The sequence below is a fragment of the Homo sapiens genome, chromosome 18, assembly GCF_000001405.40.
Source record: "Homo sapiens chromosome 18, GRCh38.p14 Primary Assembly".
NCBI lineage: Eukaryota > Metazoa > Chordata > Mammalia > Primates > Hominidae > Homo > Homo sapiens.
The window spans coordinates 7,060,422-7,086,423 of record NC_000018.10 but is presented as its reverse complement, the minus strand read 5'-3'; the positions used below and the strand labels follow the sequence as shown (position 1 = coordinate 7,086,423).

General features: G+C 40.9%; 1 protein-coding gene across 1 annotated transcript in view; it reads left to right on the top strand.

Moving 5' to 3' along the window:
* The window catches only part of LAMA1 (laminin subunit alpha 1), a 176,056-nt gene that overhangs the window by 31,374 nt on the left and 118,680 nt on the right, over positions 1–26,002 (top strand). Inside the window, exons 2-3 of the mRNA NM_005559.4 lie at positions 5,967–6,137; positions 6,337–6,449. Of these exons, the coding sequence (NP_005550.2) occupies positions 5,967–6,137; positions 6,337–6,449 (284 nt within the window). The remainder of the gene's footprint in view (positions 1–5,966; positions 6,138–6,336; positions 6,450–26,002) is intronic.

The window sequence follows — 26,002 nt, the reverse complement described above, 5'->3', positions numbered from 1 at the left end:
AAGGGAAGGAAATTGAAATGGATCTAAAGAGCATGGAGAGGAGTCAGTGAAAGACGTTGTATCTGTTCCTGTCTGAATGCATGCCCTTCTATTTCTGCCTAGATGATGCCTGCTCATTTCTCTTGCTCTAGAACATCTCCTCAAATCTGTTTTCAAATATTGCTGCAGTTTTAATGTTATGTTTATCCACATCGGTGAGAAGAAGCTTCTCTTTCCTTCTTGGTTGTGAGAACCCTGGGGTCAGGAAAAGCTCGGTCATTCATCATAGTGCCCTGGGAGGTGCCTGGCACAGTGCTGCACACCTAAGAGGTGCTTGTTAAAAGTTTATTGACCTTAATCAAACATTCATTCTCAGCCGCTTTTTCTGACGCATATGTGTAAATCATAGATATGTTACTGAATAGGAATCCAGCCACCCTCCTAAAATTCATGTCATTAGAATACCTTAATCTTATTAACCTGGAATACTATGTTATTAGAATACCTTGATATTATTATCCTGGAATATTATTAAATAGTTCCAGAATTTTTCACTAAATCATGCTATTTGTAGTTGTTAGAGGTGCTGTTTTTATTGCTCAGTCAGGTGACTACCAGGTTTCAAAGAAAGTGCTGATTAACAGGGTAGCTTCTTTCTAATACCAGACTTCTCTGATCAAATTATAGATGTTCACTTGGGCGAATGGGTAAGATTAAGGGTAAAATAGGCCAGGAGCGGTGGCTCACGCCTGTAATCCCAGCACTTTGGGAGGCTGAGGCGGGCGGATCAGGAAGTCAGGAGATCGAGACCATCCTGGCTAACGTGGTGAAACCCCATCTCTACTAAAAATACAAAAAATTAGCCGGGCTTGGTGGCGGGTGCCTATAGTCCCAGCTACTCTGGAGGCTGAGACAGGAGAATGGCATGAACCCGGGAGGTGGAGCTTGCAGTGAGCGGAGATCGTGCCACTGCACTACAGCCTGGGCGACAGAGCAAGACTCTTGTCTCAAAAAAAAAAAAAAAAAAAAAAGAAGAAGAAGAAGAAAAAAAGAGTAAAATAAATGGAAAACAAAATGGATTTGTATGTTTTTTAAAGATCACAAATTTCTCAATTTAGATTGAGAAATTTAGAAACTTAAATTCCTACTTTTCCAAATTTCTCCATGGATTGAATAAGTAGCTTTGTTTTTCAAAATAAAAACTCCCAACACCAGAAGCCACCCTGATTATTCAACCCTATAAAATATTCATATTCTCTTGTTTCATTCTGGAAAAAAATGATCTGGAAATATTGCCTCAGATCCTGTAGCTAAGAATTGCAAATCATTTTCTTTTCAGAACATCACCTTGATTTTGAGTATGGATCAAGCAAATACAACATTTTCTAGAACTCAGAAACTTTTTTTTTTCCAAAATGGAAAAAAAACCTCATACTTCTCTTACACACAAATGAATTAAGACTTTGAATGCTTGGCTTCTGAATCATTTGAAAAATATTGGCAAAGAAGTTGTTGTAACAAGTCTCAGGCCTAGCCAACATTTTAGATGCTTTGGTTTTAAGACAGGGAAGATATATTCTGCTGGGAAGAAATCCAAAAACCTCTAAAAATGAATTATAAACTATCTGGAAGTGTCTCAGCTGTGGTAATTATGGTAGTAGCATTGTTGTCTGCCACCTTGGTGGCCGTTTTTCACCTAATGTTTATAAGAGAATCTTCCAGTAGGTTAACATGATCCTGAAATGCACTTCAAAAGGCCAAGTGTACAGAAAGGGTTTAAAAACAGTAACTGCTAGTGAGTGAGAAGGAATTTATTTCATGCTCGATGGAGTTTGGCTTTATAAATTTTTTAGCTGCTGGTTAAATCCACAGTAGAGGAATGATTCCATTGTGTGTCCTGAGTGGAAGAAAAAAGTAAAAATTAGTATCACAGTAACAGTAACTGAAGTGAATAACATTTCTCAACAAAAAACATGCAGACTAATTTATTAAGTCCTTGATGAAGTAGTGGGAAAACTGTGTCACGCCACATAGCTACAGTCCTCGTTCTACCCTTGATTTTTATGTGTAAAACCAAACATAGCTTCTTGGTACTGTCCTGATCCTAATGCTCCTTCTCACTCTCTGATTTCCTATCTCACCTCCTGCTCAATGGTCATGTGGTTCCCCTTTATTGAACTATTTCAGTAGTCTGCAATGAGTCAGCAACCTTAGGGACTTTAAAAAAAATTCTATTTACCAGTCTGGGCAAAAAGAGTGAAACCCCATCTAAAAAAAAAATAAAAATTCTGTTTAAAACATGCTTGCTCTAGTACACATTTCTAACCCCACAGCCCCACCGCCGCTTTTTTTTTTTTTTTTTTTTTTTTTCTGAGACAGAATCTCACTCTGTTGCCCAGGCTGGAGTGCAGTGGCGTGATCTCAGCTCACTGCAACCTCCGCTTCTCAACTTTAAGTGATTCTCCTGCCTCAGCCTCCCGAGTAGCTGGATTACAGGCATGTGCCACCATGCCCCACTAATTTTTTTTGTAATTTTAGTAGAGATGGAGTTTTACCATGGTGGCCAGGCTGGTCTCGAACTCCTGACCTCAAGTGATCCGCCCGCCTCGGCCTCCCGAAGTGCTGGGATTACAGGCGTGAGCCATTGCGCCCGGCCCCAACCTTCTTTCATCTTCTTTCATCTTGGAACAGATGTGGTTCTTTGCAACAAAAGGATAGTGATTAACTATGAAAAGGGAGTAAATATAATATGTAAGACATCATTTTTAGTGAATATTTTTTTCCAAATATTAGCTTATCTGAGAAGGAAGATTTAGTTTTAGTGAAAGACAACCCAAATATTTTTATGAAATTAATTATTTGAAGGTTTTACTTGCATAGGCATGCTAATGAAGTATATTTCTTCTAAATATACTTTCAATAAAAAAGCAATCTTTCTTTTTATTAAAAGTATATTTAGGGCCCGGCGCGGTGGCTCAAGCCTGTAATCCCAGCACTTTGGGAGGCCGAGACGAGTGGAGCACTTGAGGTCAGAAGATCAAGACCAGCCTGACCAACATGGTGAAACTCCGTCTCTATTAAAAATACAAAAATTAGCTGGGCGTGGTGGTGCGCATGTGTAATCCCAGCTACTCAGGAGGCTGAGGCAGGAGAATCGCTTGAACCCGGGAGGTGGAGGTTGCAGTGAGCCAAGATCGTGCCACTGCACTCCAGCCTGGGCGACAGAGACTATGTCTCAAAAAAAAAAAAAATGTATATATATATATATTTAGAACAGCCAGGTAAGAAACCTGTCTAGTGCAAAGAACTACCTGATGCTGATTACTATAACTGAGATATTATTCTCCAAAAACAGTTAAATTTATGTTCATGAGGTTTGAGCTGCTTTTTCTCAGTGGCTCAGGGCAAAGACTCCAGCATACACAGTGTGTGGTGCCTCCATGACTCCCTGGCCCCCTCCCCTCCTCAATAACACAAGACCCTGCAGTTACTCAGATTGGGAGGTAGTGGGGAGTTCTTTTGATGTCCTGCAACTGGTGGGGGTGAATAAGGAGCAAGTGGGAACATTCGTTAACTGGTGAAGTATTTGTTGTTAATAGAGAAATGCATTGTGAAGTCAGTTCTTGTAACCTTGGTTTCTTTTTCTTGCTTGACTAGTCTTTGTGAAGGGAATGGATAGAGTTGATTGTACTGTAAATCTAATTGCATGTATGTAATACAGAGCCAAAAAATGTCATTTTAGCTGTTTGGACAAAACGCTATAGTTTAAAAGCATATTTTATTTAAAATGATTAGCTGATAAGAGAAATTTGAATCAGAATACCTGAATATTATGGTCATAAAGGATGGAGGAAATTATTGTTTATCTTAGTACTAAATAGAATAAACGTCAGCCCCTGCTACAGGTAAGTACCACACATAAGAATGTATGTGTTACTGTAGGAGCTACATTATTACATAAAATATAACTGTCTAACTACTGGTTGATGAAAATAATAAATTGGGGAGCTGCATGATTAAACACAATGACTCATCTGGTTCCGCATAAAGCATTTTTTTTTCTTATTTTATATTAAAAACAAACGAAGTCCCTTTACAGGGATATGATAAAAATAAGCATCTTTAAGTTAAAAATGAAAATAAATATATTAAACATAGTATATGATGTAAGTTCATGCTATGTTTCAAAATTAAGAATAATGCTTTAGAGTACAAATATTAAATAACTATTTTATCTTGAGAGGGTAAGGACTTATTGACAGAATGGGGTCCTTCTATTTGACAGAATTACTAATAGGTAGTTCTGTTTTATGTAAAAAGTTTTTGAAAGACTACCTAATGTATTTTTTTAATAGATGCATGGTAAGGTTTTTAGTGTAGCAAGTGTTAGAGAAATAACCATTTTTGTTTGATAATTTAAAATTTAAAATATTTATAATGGAAAAGATCATTGAACGTATTAGGCAGTGCCTAAAAAATAACAGTGGAAGCCATGAATTCCTTCTGTGTTACTAAAATTACACTGTGCTATTTTAAATTTCACTGAAAAATAAACATTTCAGTAATGGTATTTCTATATGGTTTTTACAAAGAAAAGATTATATTCTGTGATCTTTTAAGATCAAGCTGTACTATGTTAGAGAAACGCCACTAAGCTGAGACCCTCGCAGTATGCTCTCAGCTCAGTGTCCATGCCTGGAGAATGTCTCTTCAACATCGCGTACACCATTGTTTCTAGATCTTTACAGAATCTTCACTGCTGCTATCCCCTTTTACCAAGATAAAGTTAAATCTCCAAAGAACCGAATGGAGGTACTTTTCTCACAGTCACCCAGAAATTGTTTCCTGAATAGTTTGGACCTGGTACTGATCTTGGCTGCTTAAAGATAAAATCAGCTGAGACAAAGGAACAGTACAAAGGCAAAGATCAATAATGACTTGAAAAGCATTTTGAAAACTGTATCTTTGTGTTCTAAAATTTTATTCAGCAAAGAAAACAGGAGTAAAGAAAGAGAAGAGAGAGACAAAAAAAATCCTAGATAATTATAGAAAAGACCTTGTAAATACTACCAGAGTCAACTGGACCAAAGTGAGGACAGAATAAATGCCCTTCTTTCAAGTGAAAGACGTTTGGATTGCATTGATAAATATATGCATTGGATCATTTGAAACTTCCCTTAAGGCCTGTTTCACAACATTTTATTGTAAACATTTTCAATCAGAAAAGTGGAAAGAATTGTACAGTGAACACCCATACTCTCGCCTTGGTTTTTTTTTGTTGTTGTTTTTGAGGCTCAGTCTCGCTCTATTGTCCAGGCTGGAGTGCAGTGGCACAATCTCCACAGCGGCTGAACTGATTTACACTCCCACCGACAGTATATAAGCATTCCCTTTTCTCCACAGCTTCTCCAGTATCTGTTGTTTTTTGACTTTTTAATAATAGACATTCTGACTAGTGTGAGATGGCATATCATTGGAAGCCAGCTTACTTTGTGGTGCATTTCGAAGTGAATTGGAGACATAAGTAGACTTTACTCCTAAACATTTCCGCATGTACATTGGTATTTATGATTCTTTTATTTATTTATTTATTTTTGAGGTAGAACGTGCACATACTAAGATACACGGATCTACCCAAATCTTACTTAGGTGTACTCATTCTATGATTTTTCACAATTGCATCTGCCTGTGAAACCCAAAGCTTTATCGAGATATGAACGTATTACCCTAGAAAGTTCCTCTGTCGTTTCATAGTCAATCCCCACCCCCTGCAACAATGGTTTGACTTTTCTCCGTAGATGAATTTTGCTTCTCCCAGAATTTCATATAGATGAAACCATGCTGCGTATACGGTGTTTGTGTAAGGATTCCTTCATTCAGCACATAGACTTTCAATCTCCTTTTGATTCACCTACCAAGTGGGATGGGGTAAGCTCATTCTTTGGATTTCAAGTGGCTCAGCTGATTTGGTAAATTTTCACTTTCAGGCCTGTTTCCTGCCATTCTCAATCTTGCCAGCAATGCTCACATCAGCACCAATGCCACCTGTGGCGAGAAGGGGCCGGAGATGTTCTGCAAACTTGTGGAGCATGTGCCAGGTCGGCCCGTCCGAAACCCACAGTGCCGGATCTGTGATGGCAACAGCGCAAACCCCAGAGGCAAGTGTCGCGCCTTTATTTCTGAAATTCCCATGGGAATGTACACTTTGTGAAATGAGGACTGAGACTTCTGTTAGGAAGCCATAAACATTGTGTTCACCTTCACTGCTCTTTGTTTCCACTAGCATTACGGTTTAGAACTTAAGAAATTTAAAGCAACAGCCGAGAGGAATTCATGTTTTTTATTTTCTTTCAACAGAACGCCATCCAATATCACATGCCATAGATGGCACCAATAACTGGTGGCAAAGTCCCAGCATTCAGAATGGGAGAGAATATCACTGGGTCACAATCACTCTGGACTTAAGACAGGTAGGTGAGCCCAGAACCATTGAAGAGTGTCTACAGGCTGCTGAGCTGTGGTCTTCTGATGACCTTTGGGAAAGTCTGGCTTCTTTCTGAACACATTTACATTCTAATCTCACTATTTCCACCAGGTGAAGGCAAGTGGTATACAGAAGGAGTCCCTGGTGCCATTTCTTGTCACTTTCATCATTCCCAGGTGTCTTCAGGGAGATGGGTGAAATTGCTTCCATATGGTTGATGTTCTTCGAAGCTGTGTCAACAGGGCACACTCATCCATCCAGGGTATCATGTCAGGCTGTTTGCTGGCTGCCAACAGATGCATGGGGAGGGAGAGGGGGAAAACACATGTATTTCCTAACTTTTAGCTTACTGTCTTGCTAATGTCATTGAGTAAGTTATTGTATAAGGATTATATAAGGCTAGAAGAAAAAAAGACAAAACGGTGTTAAACCTCTTGACTGTGTCTCCCCTGCCACATGTAGTCTGTCTGGGCCAGGTAAGCTGGAGTTGCCCAATAGTAACTTAAGCAGTGCCTTCAGCATGAGTGGGGAGAGGGAAGGTATGACTGGCTCCAGCCACACCTGCATCTCCTTACCTTGCTTCAAGTCCACATAGGAGGATGGAGAGAAATATGAGATGAGCCCCAGTTGCCCTGATGTTCCTGGGAAAGAAAAACAAAAGGAGTCTGAGTGGAAGGAATGAAAAAGAGAGATGGCAGGTGTTTTGGAGCTGTTGTCCTGGTTCTGTTTTGAGCTTTTCAGAAAAGCCATCGCATTAATTCTTATTTATTTCCATTCAGTTTCTCTTGTGTTAGAACTCATAAGTTTCATGTAAAATATGAGATCGGTTAAAAGACACAAGTAATTGTGATGTGCATTGTAGGATTTAAATAGGAATTATAGAGATTTAATGACAATCAGAATTCTTTGAATAAGTGATAGTTTTAAAATGTGCAGGAATTTTTTTTTATTTTTTATTTTTATTTTTTATTTTTTGAGACAAAGTCTCACTCTGTCGTCAGGCTGGAGTGCAGTGGCGCGATCTCGGCACACTGCAACTTCCGCCTCCCCGGTTCAAGCGATTCTCCTGCCTCAGCCTCCCGATTAGCTGGGACTACAGGCTCCTGTCGCCATGCCTGGTTAATTTTTTTGTGTTTTTAGTAGACAGGATTTCACTATGTTGGCCAGGATGGTCTCATCTCTTGACCTCGTGATCCGCCTGCCTTGGCCTCCCAAAGTGCTGGGATTACAGGAGTGAGCCACCAGACCTGGCCAAATGTGCAGGATTTTAAGAAGACAAGGTGATACTTCATATATTGATGTACAAGGAACTTGTGTTCTGTAATAATTACAGCAAATAAGGTAGCAAGATGTGCAGCTCAGGAGACATTTTCCAAGTTCAGGTTCACAGTATTATGAAAGTAAAATAACACTTTTAATAGCTTTCAGGTATAAGACATGAATTAATGTGACACTCCTTAATATTTTCAAATCCCCTTAAAGAAAAAGAGAAAAGAGCCAGGTGCGGTGGCTCACGCCTGTAATCCCGGCACTTTGGGAGGCCAAGGCGGGTGGATCACGAGGTCAGGAGATCGAGACCATCCTGGCTAACACGGTGAAACCCCGTCTTTACTAAAAATACAAAAAATTAGCTGGGCGTGGTGGCAGGCGCCTGTAGTCCCAGCTACTCGGGAGGCTGAGGCAGGAGAATGGCGTGAACCCAGGAGGCAGAGGTTGCAGTGAGCCGAGATCACACCACTGCACTCCAGCCTGGGCGACAGAGCGAGACTCTGTCTCAAAAAAAATAAAATAAAATAAAATAAAATAAAAAACAAAAAAAAATAAAAAGAGAAAAGAGCTTCTTTGAAAAGAGCTTCTTTGTTGTTGTGTTTTGTTTTTTGTTTTTTTTTTTTTTTTGAGACGGAGTTTCACTCTTATTACCCAGGCTGGAGTGCAGTGGCTGGATCTTGGCTCACTGCAACCTCTGCCTCCCGGGTTCACGCGATTCTCCTGCCTCAGCCTCCTGAGTAGCTGGGATTACAGGAGTGTGGTCTCGAACTTCTGATCTCAGGTGATCCACCGGCCTCGGCTTCCCAAAGTGCCGGGATTAGAGGCATGAGCACCACGTCCAGCCAAGAGCTTCTTTTTAACCCTGGCCTTTGTGTTTATCTCAGTGGTAAGAATGGTTCTCTGGAAGATTTCGGTTTTTCCCATCACCTTTCTGACATATTTTCCTTTTTCTAAAGGAAAAAGTAAAACTGTGTTCATTATTAAGAATGTGATATTATATGAGTTTGGCCAAATTAAGACCTGGACATTTTACATATAGATTTCAAACCTCTGTAAGTCTATCCTTTGTCTTGAAATTTGTCATGCTTGACTTCATCCTGAAGGGATGGACTAAGTTAGTCTGAGGAATTCCAGAAGGCAGTCTCCATTTTAGATGTTTAAGGCATTTTTAAAAAATAAGCATAGACAGCCAGGTGCAGTGGCTCATGCCTGTAATCCCAGCACTTTCGGAGGCTGAGGTGGGCGGATCACGAGGTCAGGAGATCGAGACCATCCTGGCTAACACAGTGAAATCCCGTCTCTACTAAAAAAGATACAAAAAAATGAGCCAGGCGTGGTGGTGGGCACCTGTAGTCCCAGCTACTCGGGAGGCTGAGGCAGGAGAATGGCGTGAACCCAGGAGGCGGAGCTTGCAGTGAGCCGAGACTGCACCACTGCACTCCAGCCTGGGCGACAGAGCGAGACTCCGTCTCAAAAAAAAAAAAAAAAAAAAGAAAAGAACAGAAAAAACCATAGACATATAGTTATAGGCTGCTTTAGGTAATTTTTAGTGTTTTAGGATATGCTTTTAAAATAAGATCACTTAAAATAATTAGTATTCAGAAATTTCTTTACCATTTACACAGTATAAAAATTCTGCTGTGCTTTGTTTTTTTTTAAACAAAGCACATTATGCTTATATCTGATCAAGCCTTTCTCAGATTTATTTATTTATTGAGCCTTTTTATTACAAACACTTTTGCATATGTAGAAAGCATATTACAGTGAATACACATATACCCACCCTTGAGATTTGGGGATTTTAAAACACTGGACCATGTTCGTTTCAGTGAATTGCAGTCATCACAACATTTTGCCAGTCCTTCAGTTTGTGTCTTCAAAAAATAAAGACGTTTGTTCTGATTAGATACCATACCATTTCAGCCTCCTTGGGCAAAATTAACAGTAATTTCTTAATAACTCTTTTCCCATCCACATTCAATTTTCCCAGTTTATCAACTAGTATCTTTTACTGCTTTTTTTTTTTTTTAACCAGGATCCAGTAAGGACCACTTGTTGCATTGGATTGCTATGCTTCTTAAATCTCTTCTCATCTGAATTGTCCTTCACTTAAAAAAAATGCTATTGAATATATGAATAGACCAGACCAGTTGTCCTGTAGAATATGCCACATTCTGGATTTGTCAGATTGTTTCTTCATGGTTTTATTTAACATATTCTTCTGTGCTCTCTATTTCCTATACACCAAATTCAGCTCTAGAGACCTGATTAGATTCCAGTTAAGTGTTTTTCAGAAGACCACATCACCAGCCATCCTCTCACCTCACATCAGGAGGCACCCAGGGCTGGTTGTCCCACTAGTAGTGGTGCTAAATTTGAATTCTCTCTGGGTGTTAAAAGTCAGGTTTCTTCCTTGTAATGTTACTTCCTTTTTTCTGTCCCATATCCCCATTGTTTCTTAGATCTCACTGACATTCAGATCTACAGCATGGCTACACCTTCTGATGACTTTTTTTTACCTTGCCAAAATCTGCATGTTTCCTTAGCCATTAGCCAACTACCAGTTGTTTTCTAGACTATATACTCCATGAGGGATGGGACCACAGCTGTCTTCTACTTTTCTTTCTCTGCCCTTTCCTTTCCTGGTTAGTATTTATAGAGAGATGTCTTATTCACTTCTGCACACCCAGACATTGGCACAGTTCAGGCACTGAGTCAATAATTGCATTATGGATCAGTACTTTTTTTTTTTTTTTAAATGGAGCCTCACTCTGTCGCCCAGGCTGGAGTGCATTGGCGTGATCTCGGCTCACTGCAACCTCTGCCTCCCAGGTTCAAGAGATTCTCCCACCCCATCCTCCCAAGTGGCTGGGACTACAGGCACACACCACTGTACCCAGCTATTTTTGTATTTTTAGTAGAGACGTGGTTTCATCATGTTGCCCAGGCTGGCCTTGAACTCCTGACCTCAAGTGATCTGCCTGCCTCGGCCTCCCAAAGTGCTGGAATTACCGGCGTAAGCCACCGCGCCCAGCCTAGTGCTTTCTTTCTTCCGTTATTTTTTTTTTGAGACGGAGTTTCGCTCTTGTTTCCCAGACTGGAGGGCAATGGCGCGATCTCGGCTCACTGCAACCTCCGCCTCCCAGGGTTCAAGCGATTCTCCTGCCTCAGCCTTCTGAGTAGCTGGGATTACAGGCATGCACCACCATGCCCGGCTAATTTTGTATTTTTAGTAGAGACAGGGTTTCTCCATGTTGGTCAGGCTGGCCTCGAACTCCCAACCTCAGGTGACCTGCCCACCTTGGCCTCCCAAAATGCCGGGATCACAGGTGTGAGCCACCGCGCCTGACCTTGTGCTTTTTTAAAAATTTTTTTTAACTTCCCCCCCCTCCTCTTTTCTTGTTCACAGTCTGAATAGAAAAGAACAAGGAACAAACCTTTTGGCTGCTTTGTTTCAGTACTATAAAAATGTAAAATCTAAAGTATAGATTTCTAAAGTAAAATTACAGGTAGACCTTAGTCTTATCAAGAGTTGTAAAACTTAATATTATAAATGTGTTTGTGTAACTTGGTAAATATCAGCTCTTGAGGTTTTATGACCAAATTAGCTGCATTCTGTGTTGGCAAATGCTAACATTGATCCTGTTCCTGATTCTCTAATTGATGACAGCTGTCAGAATTACAGCATTTTTTTTTTTTTTTTTTTTTTTTTTTTTTTTTTTTTGCCTCTATGTATTAGGTTTGGTTATCTGCAAGATAAACTAAAGAAAAGATTAAAAAGTAGTCTTATCAGAAGTCCATAAATGTTGTATGGTTTGCAATAAGGTTTAACTACTGTTTATTTTAGTAATGTATTACAAGAGGAATAATGAGATTTACTTCTTTGCTTTTTAAAAATAATGTCTACTATTCACTTCTTTCATTGATTCACAGTATTTTAGAAGATACACTGTCAGATATCTAGCAGTATCTTACTTTTAAAAAATTCATAGGAATTTCATGTGTGTGATATTTTTAAGAAAAGTAAAGCATAATAATCATCAACTTTAACAAATACAAAATTAACATATATGTTGTGGTCTCCATTAATAAAATGCTGCTCACCAAGTGGTTTAGGATCTCATATATCAATACTACCACTGAACAGTGATCTTTTTTGACAACTTAAAATTTAAGAGAAATTATTCTGAAAGAGCATGCACATTTCATGAATCTTGCATTTATAATTGTCCAAAATCCTATAGGTTCCACGAATTACAGGAAAATTTATTCCCTATGGTAGCATTTCTCAGTAGAAGAACATGAAGATTTCCTGTTTGAGAACCACTATTTTAAAAGTTAATACACTGTTGAGATGAAAAGATGTTCATCGTCATTATTCAATAGGGAAGTGAAAATCAAACCACAATAAGATACCCCTTCACACCCATTAGGATTGCTATATTGAAAGAGTTGGAAAATAATAAGTGTTGGTGAGGATGTGAAGAAAATGGAACCCTGTGCACTGTGGGTGGAAATGTAAAATGGCACAGTGTTATGAAAAACAGTGTGGTTGTTCTGGCCGGGCGTGGTGGCTCATGTCTGTAATCCCAGCACTTTGGGAGGCCGAGGAGGTCAGATCACGAGGTCAGGAGATTGAGACCATCTCGGCCAACATGGTGAAACCCTGTCTCTACTAAAATACAAAAAATTAGCCGGGCGTGGTGGCCAATGCCTATAATCCCAGCTACTTGGGAGGCTGAGGCAGGGGAATAGCTTGAACCCGGGAGGTGGAGGTTGCAGTGAGCTGAGATCACGCCACTGCACTCCAGCCTGGCGACAGAGCAAGACTCCTTCTCATAAACACACACACACACACACACACACACAACCAGTATGGTTGTTCCTCAGAAATAAACATAGAATTACAGCAATTCCACTACTAGGGAATGCCGTAAAGAATTTAAAGTAGGGACTCAAACAGATGCCAGTGTTCAGAGCAGCATTATTCACAGTAGCCAGGAGGTGGAAGCAACCCAGATGTCCATCAACCATCAACAGGTGAATGGATAGTCAAAACATGGTATGTGCATACAGTAGAATCTTAGCCTTAAAAAGGAATGAAATTTTGACACATACCACAGCATGTATGTACCCTGGAAACATTACGCTAAATGAAATAAGCCACACACAAAAGAAGAAATATTATATGAATCAATTTGGATGAAGTACCTGGAGAAGTCAGTTCATAGAGACAGAAAGTGGAGCGGGGTGGTTGCCAGGAGCTGGGAGGAGAGAGAATGGGGAGTTGTTGTTTAATGGGTGCACAGTTTAGGTTCGGAAGTTCTGGAGATAGATGGTAGTGATCATTGCACAACAGTGTGAATATACTTAATGCCACTGAATTCTACACTTAAACATGGCTAAAGTCGTGGTTTTTATGTTACGTATATTTTTCTACAACTTAAAAAAGTTAATACACTGTGAAATATTTGGTGTATTATGTCAGCCAGGGTCAGTCAGGAATATGGAAGCCACACCAGTCATTTAAAGGCACAAATTTAGTGTGAGGAATTGGTTTGACAGTGTGGGAGAGCTGGGAGAGGGAGCAGGAAGGTAACTTGGGGGTAGTAGTGGTGGAGGAGGCAGCAACGCAGGAGGGTGTGGTTATAGCACCTAGAGCCTGGGAAGAGAGTCTCCTATCTTTCAGAATGCTCTTCTGGGGGTCCTGGAAAGCTGGAGGCTGGAGTCAGCTGCTACAGCCCAAGGCAGAGGGCCGCTGCTGGGCAAGGCTGATAGGACCCGGAAGTAGACATGGGAGAAGTCCTGCCTCCCTCCAGCCCTCCAGCCTCCCACTAGTGTCGCCGTCAGGGAGCATCGATTTGCAGCGTCCCAGCCTCAGCATCCAAAGCTGGGCTGGCAGGTGCTTAGCAACCAGCGCAAACACTTCTTCTCAGTAGGTGGTCACTTGCACCAGTATACCAACAGAAACACAGAGACAGAGCAGCCCTCGACATCCTGGGGCAGGATTTTGTTATTATGGTGGTCAGCCACATCCTAAATATGCTCATATTAAGTTTTTTAGAATAACTTTGGAATGAAAATGCAAATTTTAGAATTCTCCTGGAGAAATCATGGACTGCTGTCTAATACATTACAAACTAGGTATTCTTGGTTCTCAGCCGAGAGACTGCATCAGGGCACCAGCTTGGTCCTGGGACCTTCAGGACAGGGATGGAGGAAATACAGAAGCAGTTCCATTTATGTATTAACTATTGGGTTTTGGTGGTGTGATGTGGTGGAGATGCATGAAGTGTGGTAGGGTGATATATACAAAGTGAAATGTGATAGCTTGAAGGATGTAGAGTACCTAACAAACTCCTCACATTTAATAAACATGAGTTTTCTTTCCCTCTGTCATATTTCTAATACACAAATTACTTTAGGTTCCCAAAGATCTTCAGATATCACCAAGGGAAATGTTAAACCAGGCCTTAATAGAATCTAATTACAGTTAGCTAACAGGATTAAGGAGTGCAGTTATGCAGATTTTGAGAAATTCATAAGTCAATAATTATTCTGTTTTTTCTGATTAGGAAATTAAGATGGAATCATCATAGAAAAATGGAAGATAAGATAAGTGTAAACAGGCAGAAACACATCATCTCTTCGCTCTGTAACAATCGCTAATTGATCCCTTGGGATATTTACTTTGTCATTTGCCTACAATTCTATGCATTTAATAATGCTACAACAATACTATCATGTATTACATACTTACTGTGCCAGACATTGTGCTATGCACTTGATCAGGATTATGTCATTGAATTCTCATAATCGCCTGTGACTTGGCTCCTGTTATTATCCCCTTTTGACAGATGACGAAACTGAGACTTAGAGAGTTTAAGAGGCTTGCTCAAGGGTAGGACTCACTGAAGCTTAAGAGCCTGAGCTCTGCATCATTGCACCACTCTGACCCTCCAGCTGAGACAGATTATGTGATATATAAATTTGTGTTCTAATGTTTTATGTAATTGTATAGCATGAACATTTCCCAGTATAACTGAAACTCATGATTAATAATTGTTAAAGCTGCATTAATAGTTTCTATATGGCTTACGCATCATTTGCCTAAGAATCCTCAGGCCTGACATTTTGGTGCTTTTTCTGTTATGGGTAATAACTTGAGCTTTCAGTGAAAAAAGGTTCATTTCGTATGTATACCAATGAAGTAATACAGTGAGTATCAATCATGTTTGAGGTTTATATGACAAATTTATGGTTAATTTTGTTTTGAGCATCTTTTGAAAGAGGAATGTTATTAACAGGTACATATATAGGAATTTATAGATATGGGTTATAGCATTTTTTTCCTCGTCCATGTTATTTCATCTGCTTTTCCCAGCAGTTCTGGAATGCGAGTGATCGCCTCTTTGCAGGTACAAAAATCACGGCACAGAGTAAGCAGGTCACAGGCTTGCCCAGAGTCTACGGCTGCAGGTGCTCAAGCTAGGCCTGGAAACCAGGACCTCTGGTTCCCTCTACACCATGCCACGCTGTCTCCTTGTCTTTGGTCTCCAATTATTGTTTTCCTTTGTTCTGACTTTATGGGGAGACTGGCAAGAGCTCTTGCAATTCCCTCTTGATGTTGGGAGTGTTCAGATTCTAGCCCTTTCCCTCTTGTTCTGTTTGCCTGCTCAGTAGGGTCCTCTCCCCTATGAATCCAGCAGGGTATTGACACTTCCTTCATGCTTTTGCAGTGGCTGATAGAATTGGGTGCTACCTAACGTGTTTTTTTTTTTTTTTTTGATCAAGAAGCAGGAAAATAAATCAGTTATCTCCTATTTTCCTTAAAAAACTTTTAAAGCCGGAGAACATTTCAGTGGGAGTGAGGGTCAGATTTGTGAGTAAAAATGTATAATAGTCTTTTAGAAGATAAGATCTGTTTTGTAAAAAAGGGAAGTTCCCTATGGCATTGAAAATAAAGCTGCCTTTTGGAGCAGTGCTTTATTTTATGTGTAGGTTTAATTAGGAAGTAGCACTTTGTTGTGGGAACATAATCACAGAGGAGCCTTTGTTTTATGCAAACTTTTAGACAAGAGCTGCTTGTGTGCTGGGTTTTGTAAAACCTCATTAATTCAGATGTCAGTTGTTTTTTCCCCCAAATTTCTGAAAAATTGACCAGTATTGAGTGAGGTTTATTATTATATCATTCAAATATAAAGTATTTATTAAGCACATCGACAAGGTCAACAAGAAAATAGGGAAATTTCACATTCTTAAGATAAAATCTTTAAAGATTTTTATTGCAAGAATTGCATCTAAATTGGAGCGTCTCATTACAAGTGAATTTTGGCTGTTCCTGGAAAGAGATTAGGCAGAAACCCTTCCTAGAAGCACTCAGATAGAAATTACTTTTACTGTATGCTTTTTGTACTCTAATGATTCTATTCCAGTTTTCTATTACTTCATACTGGCCTCCACCAATTTCAAATATTAAGGTTTCTTGAATTTGCTTGGTAAAATAAATAGATTGGAAGAAATCTTAAGCTCATCATTATGATTTGGAAGTAAGCCACCCTAAATTCCTGTCCTTCAGACATTTTTATCTGTGTTGTCATGTTCTCTGTGAAGCTACTAGACTCAGAAATAGGTCTTTCTTTTGTTTTCACATTTTCATTATCTCGTTTTATTTTCTCATGCATAGCTTCTCTGCTGGTTATCTATTGTGTAAGAAATCACTGTGAAACTTTATGGCTTAAAACAGCAACATTCATTTTATACCTTTCCTGATTTCAGTGGGGTCAGGATTTAGGAAAGGCCTGAGTGGGTATGTCTAAGGCTGCAGACCATGGGGGGCTAGACTTGGAGCAGCTTAGGGGAGAGGTTCTCTGGGGCAGCTGGAGGAGGGGGTTTGGGGCAGCTGGGGAAGAGGGTGCCAGACCAGCTGGGAGAAGGTTCCTGGGGCAGCTGGAGGCTATGTTCATGAGAGTTCAGGGCGTCTCCGTGTGGTCTTTCCACATGGGTGCCTGAGCTTCCTCACAGCATGGCGACTTTAAGGCAGCTTGCTTATAGGGCAGCTTGGGGCAGGAGGCAGAAGTTGTGTCCCCTCTTAGACCTGGTCTCCAGTCACACAGTGCCAGTTTCCCTGTGCTGTATGAGCCACCCAGTCACTCAGGTTGGCAGAGATTCAACTTGGGAAAGATAGACCAGCCTCACCCGTCAACCGGAGGAGGGGTGAAGAATTTGAGGCCTGTTTTAAAACTGCTACTGCATCAGCCTTCTGAAAGGGTCTTTCTCTAGGAGGCTTTAATCTTTGCAGCCTTGCATATCTTATCTTGTAGGGGCCGCACCCCTGTCTTTAGGTGAGGTGAAGAGCTTATAGGAACCAAACAGGAATGCACATACTGTTCTTTTAACGATAAGTGAGCTGAATAAGTGAAAACAATGGAGGCTAGGCTTTAGGAACAAGATGGAGTTTTTGTTTCTTGATACGATTTATATTTAAGCTTTCTCGCTTACATATTATCGGTGGGGATTGCCAAACAGTCCAGGATAACCATTTTGCCATTTGGCAGAGCTCAGTTCTCTTTAGATTTTGAGCTGCCAAGGTTTGGCTGCACTATTTCAGTGTTTCTACCCAGCAGGGCTTCCTGCATTTGGCCTGGGAGGATTCAGGGAAATCCGTGAAGACAGTTTTGCAGGATTGGATCACAAAATGCTTTTCATATCCCCAACTGTTTTGGCATCAAAGTAAAGATTTTTGTATATTTATGGGAAAAAAGGGAAGTCCGTTCTGAAATTATTTCTTCCATTATATTGAAGCTGAAAAAAAGGGGTAAGTTTTAATTTCTCAAGAGATATTTCTTTGAAAAATATAGTGCAGTTTGGTATCCATTCTAGCTTTTTTTTTTTCTTTTTTATGTATTGACTTAACTTCTACTCAGATTGTAGTATTTCCATCTTTAAAAACAAAGCTGTAACAACGTTTTTAAAACATGGCTTATAAAAACCTCAGCTAGGTCTCAGAATATCTCTTGTGTTTTTAATGTCTTCAGTGGACCTTTTCTCTACACAGAACTTCCTTTATTTTGATGTACTAGTAACAGATAATAGCAGAAAGTTTTTAAACTATAGAAAAATATAAGAAAAAAGTTATTTAAAAAATCCCCTGTGATTCTTACAATCAGGGGTGACCTTTTGCTCCATTGCATCATATCTAAGAACACTGAATATATTTAAGAAATCAGGGAATCTCTGTCTTGTGCATACTGGGATCTCAGGATTCATCGATGAACAAGACAACGATCGGATTCACATTAAGCCCTTAGTGCAAAGAAAGTGGACAACACATGGGCGGTTCCTTCAGTATGTTGGTTATTAGCAGTGATGAGCAGGCTCGCTTTCATTGCATCTTTAAAGGCAGGCCCCAGCTCTCAAGGGGCTTCTGGTCTGGTGGGGAAAAATAGGCTTCTGCTGAGTGGTGTAGAGTGTGCAGGGACCGGGGGTGCACAGAGAACACTTCAGAAGGACCACTTCGTGGCTCAGAGAAACAATGCAGGCCGGGCGCGGTGGCTCACGCCTGTAATCCCAGCACTTTGGGAAGCCGAGGCAGGTGGATTACCTGAGGTCAGGAGATCAAGACCAGCCTGACCAACATGGACAAACTCTGTCTCTACTAAAAATACAAAATTAGCCAGGCATGGTGGTGCATGCCTGTAATGCCACCTACTCAGGAGGCTGAGCCAGGAGAATCGCTTGAACCCAGGGGGCAGAGTTTGCAGTGAGCCAAGATCGTGCCATTGCACTCCAGCCGGGGCAACAAGAGCAAAACGCCGTCTCAAAAAAAAAAAAATGCGAAAAGGACCCACCGGAGGAAGGGAGGCAGGAATACAGAAGGAAGAAGCAGCAGGGAAGAGCAGGGTGGGAAAGGCCTGGAAATTAGAAAGCCTGGCATGTCTGTGGAGCTGACATAGTACATTCAGTCCTAGAATAAACATTTCCTCTCGTTTTTCTTTTCTATTTATTGGGACATAATTGACATATAGTGAAATGCACAAATCTCGAGTGTATAGTTGGGTGAGTTTTGATAAATACAGACACTTGTATAAGCCATTCCCTTGGTATAGAACGTTTGCGTCACCCCAAAAGGCTCCCCCACCCCCTTCCCAGCCAATTCCCCACTTGCTCTCCTCCCTCCCAGCAGCCAGAGGAACCGCTGTCCTGAATTTTTTTTTTTTTTCACTTTGGAAGAGTTTTGCCTGTGAGATGACTTCTTATTAATGGAATCACAGTGCGTCCTTTTTTGTGTCTGGCTTCTTTCTGTGAGCATGAGGTTTGTCAGATTCACATGCCATTGCTTGTATGAGTGGCTTGTTCCATTCATTTCTGTGTAGTAATTTCACTTTATGGATATAGCAACATTTATTTATCCACTGTCTTGCTGGGTATTTCCAGTTTTTGTCTATTGTAAAAATGCTGCTGAAAGCAAAGCAATCCTGGGCTCTTCTCCCAGGAGTCACTGTCCCGTGCTGCCTGCTGTCCAATATTTGAAACCCATTGTTTATATCCTGTGTCCAGAGTTCTAGCTGTTCACTGGAGGAGAGCCAGGTGCTACCAATTTCTTCTTCCTAGCGACCAGCAAAATGCCTGTAATAATTTTTAATGGAAGAATGATATTTTATCATTTGGCTACACAATAATTCATTTAACCTGTTCCCATTGGGAGACACTTAAGGTGTTTCCAATTTGGGGCTATTCTAAGTTATGCTGCAACAAACATTTGAATATTTTATGGCTGTTACGGTAGTTTATTTTTTAGTGTCGATTCCAAAAAATTAGATTATTTGGTTAAATGCTTAAATTTTTTAAAATGTGATCTTTATTGCCTTATTTTTTTCAAAAACATTGCTCAATTTATATGCTCAGTAACAGTGATAAAGTGTGTTTCACAATTCCTTGGTAGTATAGAGATCAGAATTTTCTTTTCTTTTCTTTTTTGTCCTATGCTAATTGAATAGCAGAGAATTTATTTGTTTATAATGAGTTGTCACATTATGTCACTGTACTGGACATATCTTTGGGAGGACTAAGCTAAATTCAGATGCTTAAACAATGTTTGGTCTGATTTATTATCTTCACATGTGTAAATTTTATGATTATTAATCTATTGAGGCAGTCAAATTGCTATAACACGGTGGTGACATTTTTAGATATTGAATATCAATATTAGAGGCTGGACAGACTTTTCAAGTCATATTCTAACCAAAGAGAAAGAACCGATTTGACTCTAAGTCTCATTATTTTGAGAAGTTCCAGTTGTCACAAGAATAACTATGGAACATTGGAATATTGATTAAAAATCTGATACCTTACCTCTGTATTGTGCATTTTATAAAGTGCTTTCCTGTTCATTATTTCATCTTATGCTTACATGAAAAATCTGAAAAATGTGTCGATTTGTATCCACGTCATTCACGAATATGCACTGGGATGTAGAGAATACATCCTCTGGATTTGTCGTTTTAAGCCTAAATCATGGAAAACATTCAATGTAGTTTTAAAGTTCTCTAGGCTATAGGAAATTAAAAATATATTACTCACCTATCACTACCTTTTTCCAGGGGAATATGGGTGATTGTGGAATTCTGACTCTGAAAGCATTGGTTTTGGTGAGATGACCAGGCTGCCAAAGTGCACTGAAGGTAGAGACTTCTTAGTGACTGGGACAGCTGCCTGTTGATGCCGTGCACCTCCTCAGACCTGTGGTCTCTTTGCAATTTGTATGCAGGCACTTAGAAAGCACTGACTCGCTCTGGCCTGACTGTTTCGGAAATGAAGCTAGGAAAACTGTGAGGTCAAATTTAAACCTGCAAATAATTAGCTGGATGGCATAGCTGTACAAACTGAGATAGCCCGGGAAATTTGGTAAAGCTTTAAAACTATTATACTTATTCGCTTCTGTTCAGCCAACTGGGCTGATTTTTGAGACAGAGTCTCACTCTGTCACCCAAGCTGGAGTGCAACGGTGCGATCTCAGCTCACTGCAATCTCTGCCTCCTCCGTTCCAGCCATTCTTGTGCTTCGGCATCCCGAGTAGCTGGGACTACAGGTGCGTGCCACCACACCTGGCTAATTTTTGAATTTTTAGTAGAGATGAGGTTTTGCCATGCTGCCCAGGCTGGTCTCGAACTCCTGGCCTCAAGTGATAAGTGATTCACCTACCTTGGCCTCCCAAAGTGCTGGGATTACAGGTGTGAGCCACCATACCTGGCCAACATAAGCTTTCTTATCAGTTGAGAATTACTAGAATATGTGTAATTGTTTTCTTGTTTTAAAAAATAATAGACTATTTTTTAGAGAAGTTTTAGGTTTACAGAAAAATTGAATGTAAAGTACAGAGAATTCCCCCACACCCCTCTGTACAATAGTTTTTGGATCAAATTTTGGCTAGTCGTTGTTTTTTTTTTTTTTTTTTTTTGAGATAGAGTCTCACTCTGTCACCCAGGCTGGAGTGCAGTGGCGCAATCTCAGCTCACTGCAACCTCCGCCTCTCGAGTTCAAGTGATTCTCCTGCCTCAGCCTCCTGAGTAGCTGGGACTACAGGCACGTGCCACTATGCCTGGCTAATTTTTTGTATTTTTAGTAGAGACGAGGATTCACCCTGTTAGCCAGGATGGTCTTGATCTCCTGACCTTGTGATCCACCTGCCCCCCTCCCAAAGTGCTGGGATTACAGGCGTGAGCCACTGCGCCCGGCCTTGGCTATTCTTAATCACCCTTTTAAGAGCAAGTGACTGATCCAGTGCAGTTCAACAGTTTCTAAGACCTTTTCCTCCGTAGTATTTACAAGACGATCATGAGAATTGTCAATCATATAATTTAAGAATTTTTGCTTTTCCTACTATTTAATGGTATGTAATCAGAAGATATTTATCTGTGTTCTTCATATGAAGGAAGCACAAAAAAATGTCAGTTAAATAACCACTTAGTAGGTCTCTAGTGGGATGAACAATATTTAGAATCATTTACAACTTTATACCAGTCTTGTATCAGTCTTATAGACTGAGCCAGGCAAGAAATGGGGCTGCCCGAACTTGCTGTTCAGGAAATGCCACCAAGGAGAAAGCATTGTGTGAACAATGGGTCTTTCACTGTAAAGTCCTGAGTTTGGGGCTCTGGTTTTGTATTTTGTGAAGTATCATCATGCCTTGCCAGAGCTCAGTAAGAATGTGACCGAAATCAGGTCATGAGAAAGATAAGATTTCAAACATCCCCTCGGAGCTGTTTGCTTGACCTCCACTGACTTAATTGGTTTCTATGGAGTTGGCCCCTGCCTAGAAATACTACATTCCTACTCATTTTCAACTTAGACAGCTCAGTCTTTCACAAGGTTGAATCTTCATACCATTCACTTTTCATCTCTTTTTTTTTGGAGGGGGTGTTATTATAAAATATGCATATCATAAAATTTACCATTGTAACCTTTTTTTGTATTAAAAATGGCATATTCTCTATTTTGCATACTTTAATTTCAGAACAAAATAAACAAAAAAAAATCCACAATACACAACATCCAATCCTGCTGTCAGAGTAGGGAGGGAATGGGGGCTTGACACCCTTGTTTCCTGCCTTCAATACAAAGACAGGAGAGAAAAAAACACTAGACATCAGCAGGGGGAGCCAGGTGGGACAGGGGCACTTGAGGCTGCAGTGGGAGCCATTTTAACCATTTTTAAGTGTACAGTACAGTGGCATTAAGTATATTGTGCAACCGTCACCACCATCCATCCCCAGAACTTTTTCATCTTCCCAAACAGAAACTCTGTACCCCTTAAACACCAACTCCACGTTCCTCTCTTCCCCCAGCCCTGGGTAGCCTCCATTCAGCTTTTGTCTATGAATTTGATTACTCTGGGTAATCAAGCTTACATAAGTGGAATCATATTCTATTTGTCCTTTTGTCTGGCTTATTTCACTTAGCGTACATAATGTCCTCAAGGCTTATCTATGTTGTAGCATGTATTACAATTTCCTTCCTTTTAAAGACTGAATAATATTCCATTGTATGCATAGACCATATTTTGTTTAGCCATTCATCCATCAACGGGTACCTGGGCTGTTTCCACCTTTTAGCTATTGTGAATAATGCTGCTGTGAACATTGGTGTACATGTGTATTCGAGTCCCTGCTTTCTCTTCTTCTGGATATATACCTGGAAGAGGAATTTCTGCATCATGTTGTAATTCTATGTTTAATTTTTTGAGGGACCACCATACTGTTTTCCATAGTACCTGCACCATTTTACATTCCCACTGCATCTTTTAAAAAAATAAACAAAAGCCTTCCTATATATTATGTATCCTACATATTTGGATATTCTCTTTTAAAAAATAAGCTTTAAATATTATGATTTGTCAGTTAGATACTCAGTGAAGTTAGATGTGTCTAAAGAAAAAGGAGAATCTTCAAGTAGAATATAGACCAAGGATCCATATAAAAAGTGAAATTTTACACACTCACAAGAAACAATACTTTCTCATCTCTCTAGTGCTAAAACTATCAACGATTCAGCTAGATTTAGGGCCCAAAGGAAAGAAAACACATAATTATTGTTTCTGGGTGTTGTAAATGTATAACTAATAGGTTAATGTTTAATGGAGTTCGTTAAGTACAGATTTGCACAGCTTTTCTGGGCAGTATCACCTGTTGGATTTTAGAGGCTTAATGATTAAGGGCCCCTTTTACTGTCACTGAGTGTGATGCTCGTGTGTTTTCTCATAATAAGGCATGCGAAGAAGGGATGCAAGCTGTAAGCTCTTCACCATCGCTCCATCAACTGGAGCAAAAACAGGTCAATGTGAGGACTAGGAGAAGAGGTGAAAAGAAGTTGAATTTTTAGCCAGATATTCTCTGGGACTGAGGCAAGAGCGGGGAAGTGTGGGCTTTGGGGCCATGTAGGAGAGAACTCTGCACTCTTCCTACAGTGGAGAGAGGGATCTGATCGAGCTGGAAGACACTGCTTGGCCTCTTTGTGTTTTCCTTCTCACTCATGTTTTGGCCTTTTAGAAAACCCTGTAAGACCCGTTGCTTTTATCTCTGCTCTGGTCTCTTGGTGTTTACAAAGTCAGCACCACCATCTCTCATGATTTCCAGGCACCAACATCCAATCCTGTGACCTTCAGCTCCGGTGACCCTGTAGCTCCTTGGTTTCAGTCCCTGGGATGGTCTAAGCGTTTTAACCACGGTGCACAAACATCTGCGTGATGGCCGACAGCCCTGGCCAGGCGCCCGCCGGCTCTCTCCTGCCATCTCTGCACTCCTTCCTCTGTGCTCTGCCCTCAGAGTTCCCCTCAGTGTCTTTCCTCACCTTTGCTCCAGTTACCTGGACATCTCTCATCTGGTTTCAGAGATACCTTCTCTTACCTTCAGGGAAGACTTCCCTGACTATCTGCCTTCTCCAGAGTTAATGGGCCTTCCCCCAACACCCAGACACTCTCACAGCCTCCACCCTTCTCCCTGGTGACTTGGTCAGCCTCTGGCTTTCCCACCAGGGCATTGGGTCACATAGACCTTCCATCCACTGCCATATTTGTGGCACCTGGCTTAGTCCCTGTGACAAAGCAGATGCTCAGTTAATGATGACTGGACGAAGCTTCAGTGAAAAATTGTTAGTGGGCGTCCCTTGTCCCCAGTGTCCTGTGTCCATGTGGAGTGTTCCTTTGCTCACCCCTCCCCCACCTGTCCTCAAGGGAGGAGCAGTCATTGCCTAACTCGGGGACAGCTGACTCTCTCCCCCAGGGCACAGTGTGCTCTTCTTTTCCCGTGCAGGCTGTTCTCAGACGCACAGGTACTGGCCCACAGGACAGAGCTTCCAGGGTGGGTCCACAAGCACCCACTCAGGCTGTGATGCAGGAGGGAGTGTGTCGAGCAGGCCTCCACCGCGCCCATCTACATCATATCCTCCAGTTTTGCTTTTTTATGGAATATTGCAGACTGCTTTTTCCAATCTCCATGACAGATTTGTGAGCCTACTTCCACATCAGAAGAGGAAGGAAGGGATGCCATTCATTGCCACCACTGTCCCAACATGAACAAATGGGGAACTGCATTTTGGAGAAAGCCTAGTGTGATTTCAAAGGCTTAGATGGTCCTAGGTGAAAACTTGATAGTTAACGGCCAAGGGAATCGTTAGGAGTTGGGGAATAGAAAAGGTGCTTTTTGGATTTCTTAGGTCTGAGAATGGCCTGTAACTGCATTTCACAAGTGGGTTTATATCATTCTAGGGGCACTTGGCTGTCATGTGGATCTTACAAGGTGGGGAAAAGAAATGAAGATCCTCACAAAGAGCATTTGGTGACATGCCTGGCTGTGGTTTTGAGGCTGTTCCAGCTAATTTTCCACAAATTTAGCAAAATCACCAAGAACACCTCGTCAACTTGAGCAACAGGAACAATTATAGGGAGAAATACATCGAGACTAGGAAGGGAAGACAACCTTTTACTTGTCTGTTCTGTTTCTTAGATAAAGCAGTTCAACACTTTTTGTGGGGGATGAGGGACAGGGTCTTGCTCTGTCATCCAGGCTGGAGTGCAGTGGCACCATCACGGCTCACTGCAGCCTCGACCTCCCAGGCTCAAGTGATCCTCCCACTTCAGCCTCTCCATGGCTGGGACCAAAGGCATGCACCACCATGCCTGCATGATTTTTTTTGTAGTTTTTGCAGAGATGAGGTTTTGCCGTGTTGCCCAGGCTGGTCTCAAATTTCTGGGCTCAAGCAGTCTGCCCACCTTGGCCTCCCAAAGTGCTGGGATTACAGGCATGAGCCACCACCCCCAGCCTGCACACTTTTTAAAACAACAATACTATTAGTCACCCTCAAATGGAAATGGTGACACCTGGACCGTGGGTCAGCTTGCGGGGTGGGCTCCTTTTGAAATCGCTTTTCTAATTGATGGAAGTCAGAACTGCTTCTGACAGGTGTTTGAAGTATTTCTTTCCTATCTTCAGATTACCGATCATGGGTTACTATTTACGTTTTAAATGGGCTCGTATCTCTGTGCCCTCTATTTGTCAGCAATCATCTCTCTTACTTTGGCTTTTCTTCAATGTCCACTTTAAGTATCTCAGCATGGTTCTGAAGGGAGCATTCCTAGATTGTCTGAGACATGAATTTTAAGAATTTTAAGGAAAGAAATCTGCTTGATCTAAATTTATCACTATTGGCAGCCTGTCCCTCCTCCCCTAATCAAAACAAAAAGCAAAAAGAAAAGGAGCAAAAAAGAGAAAAGTT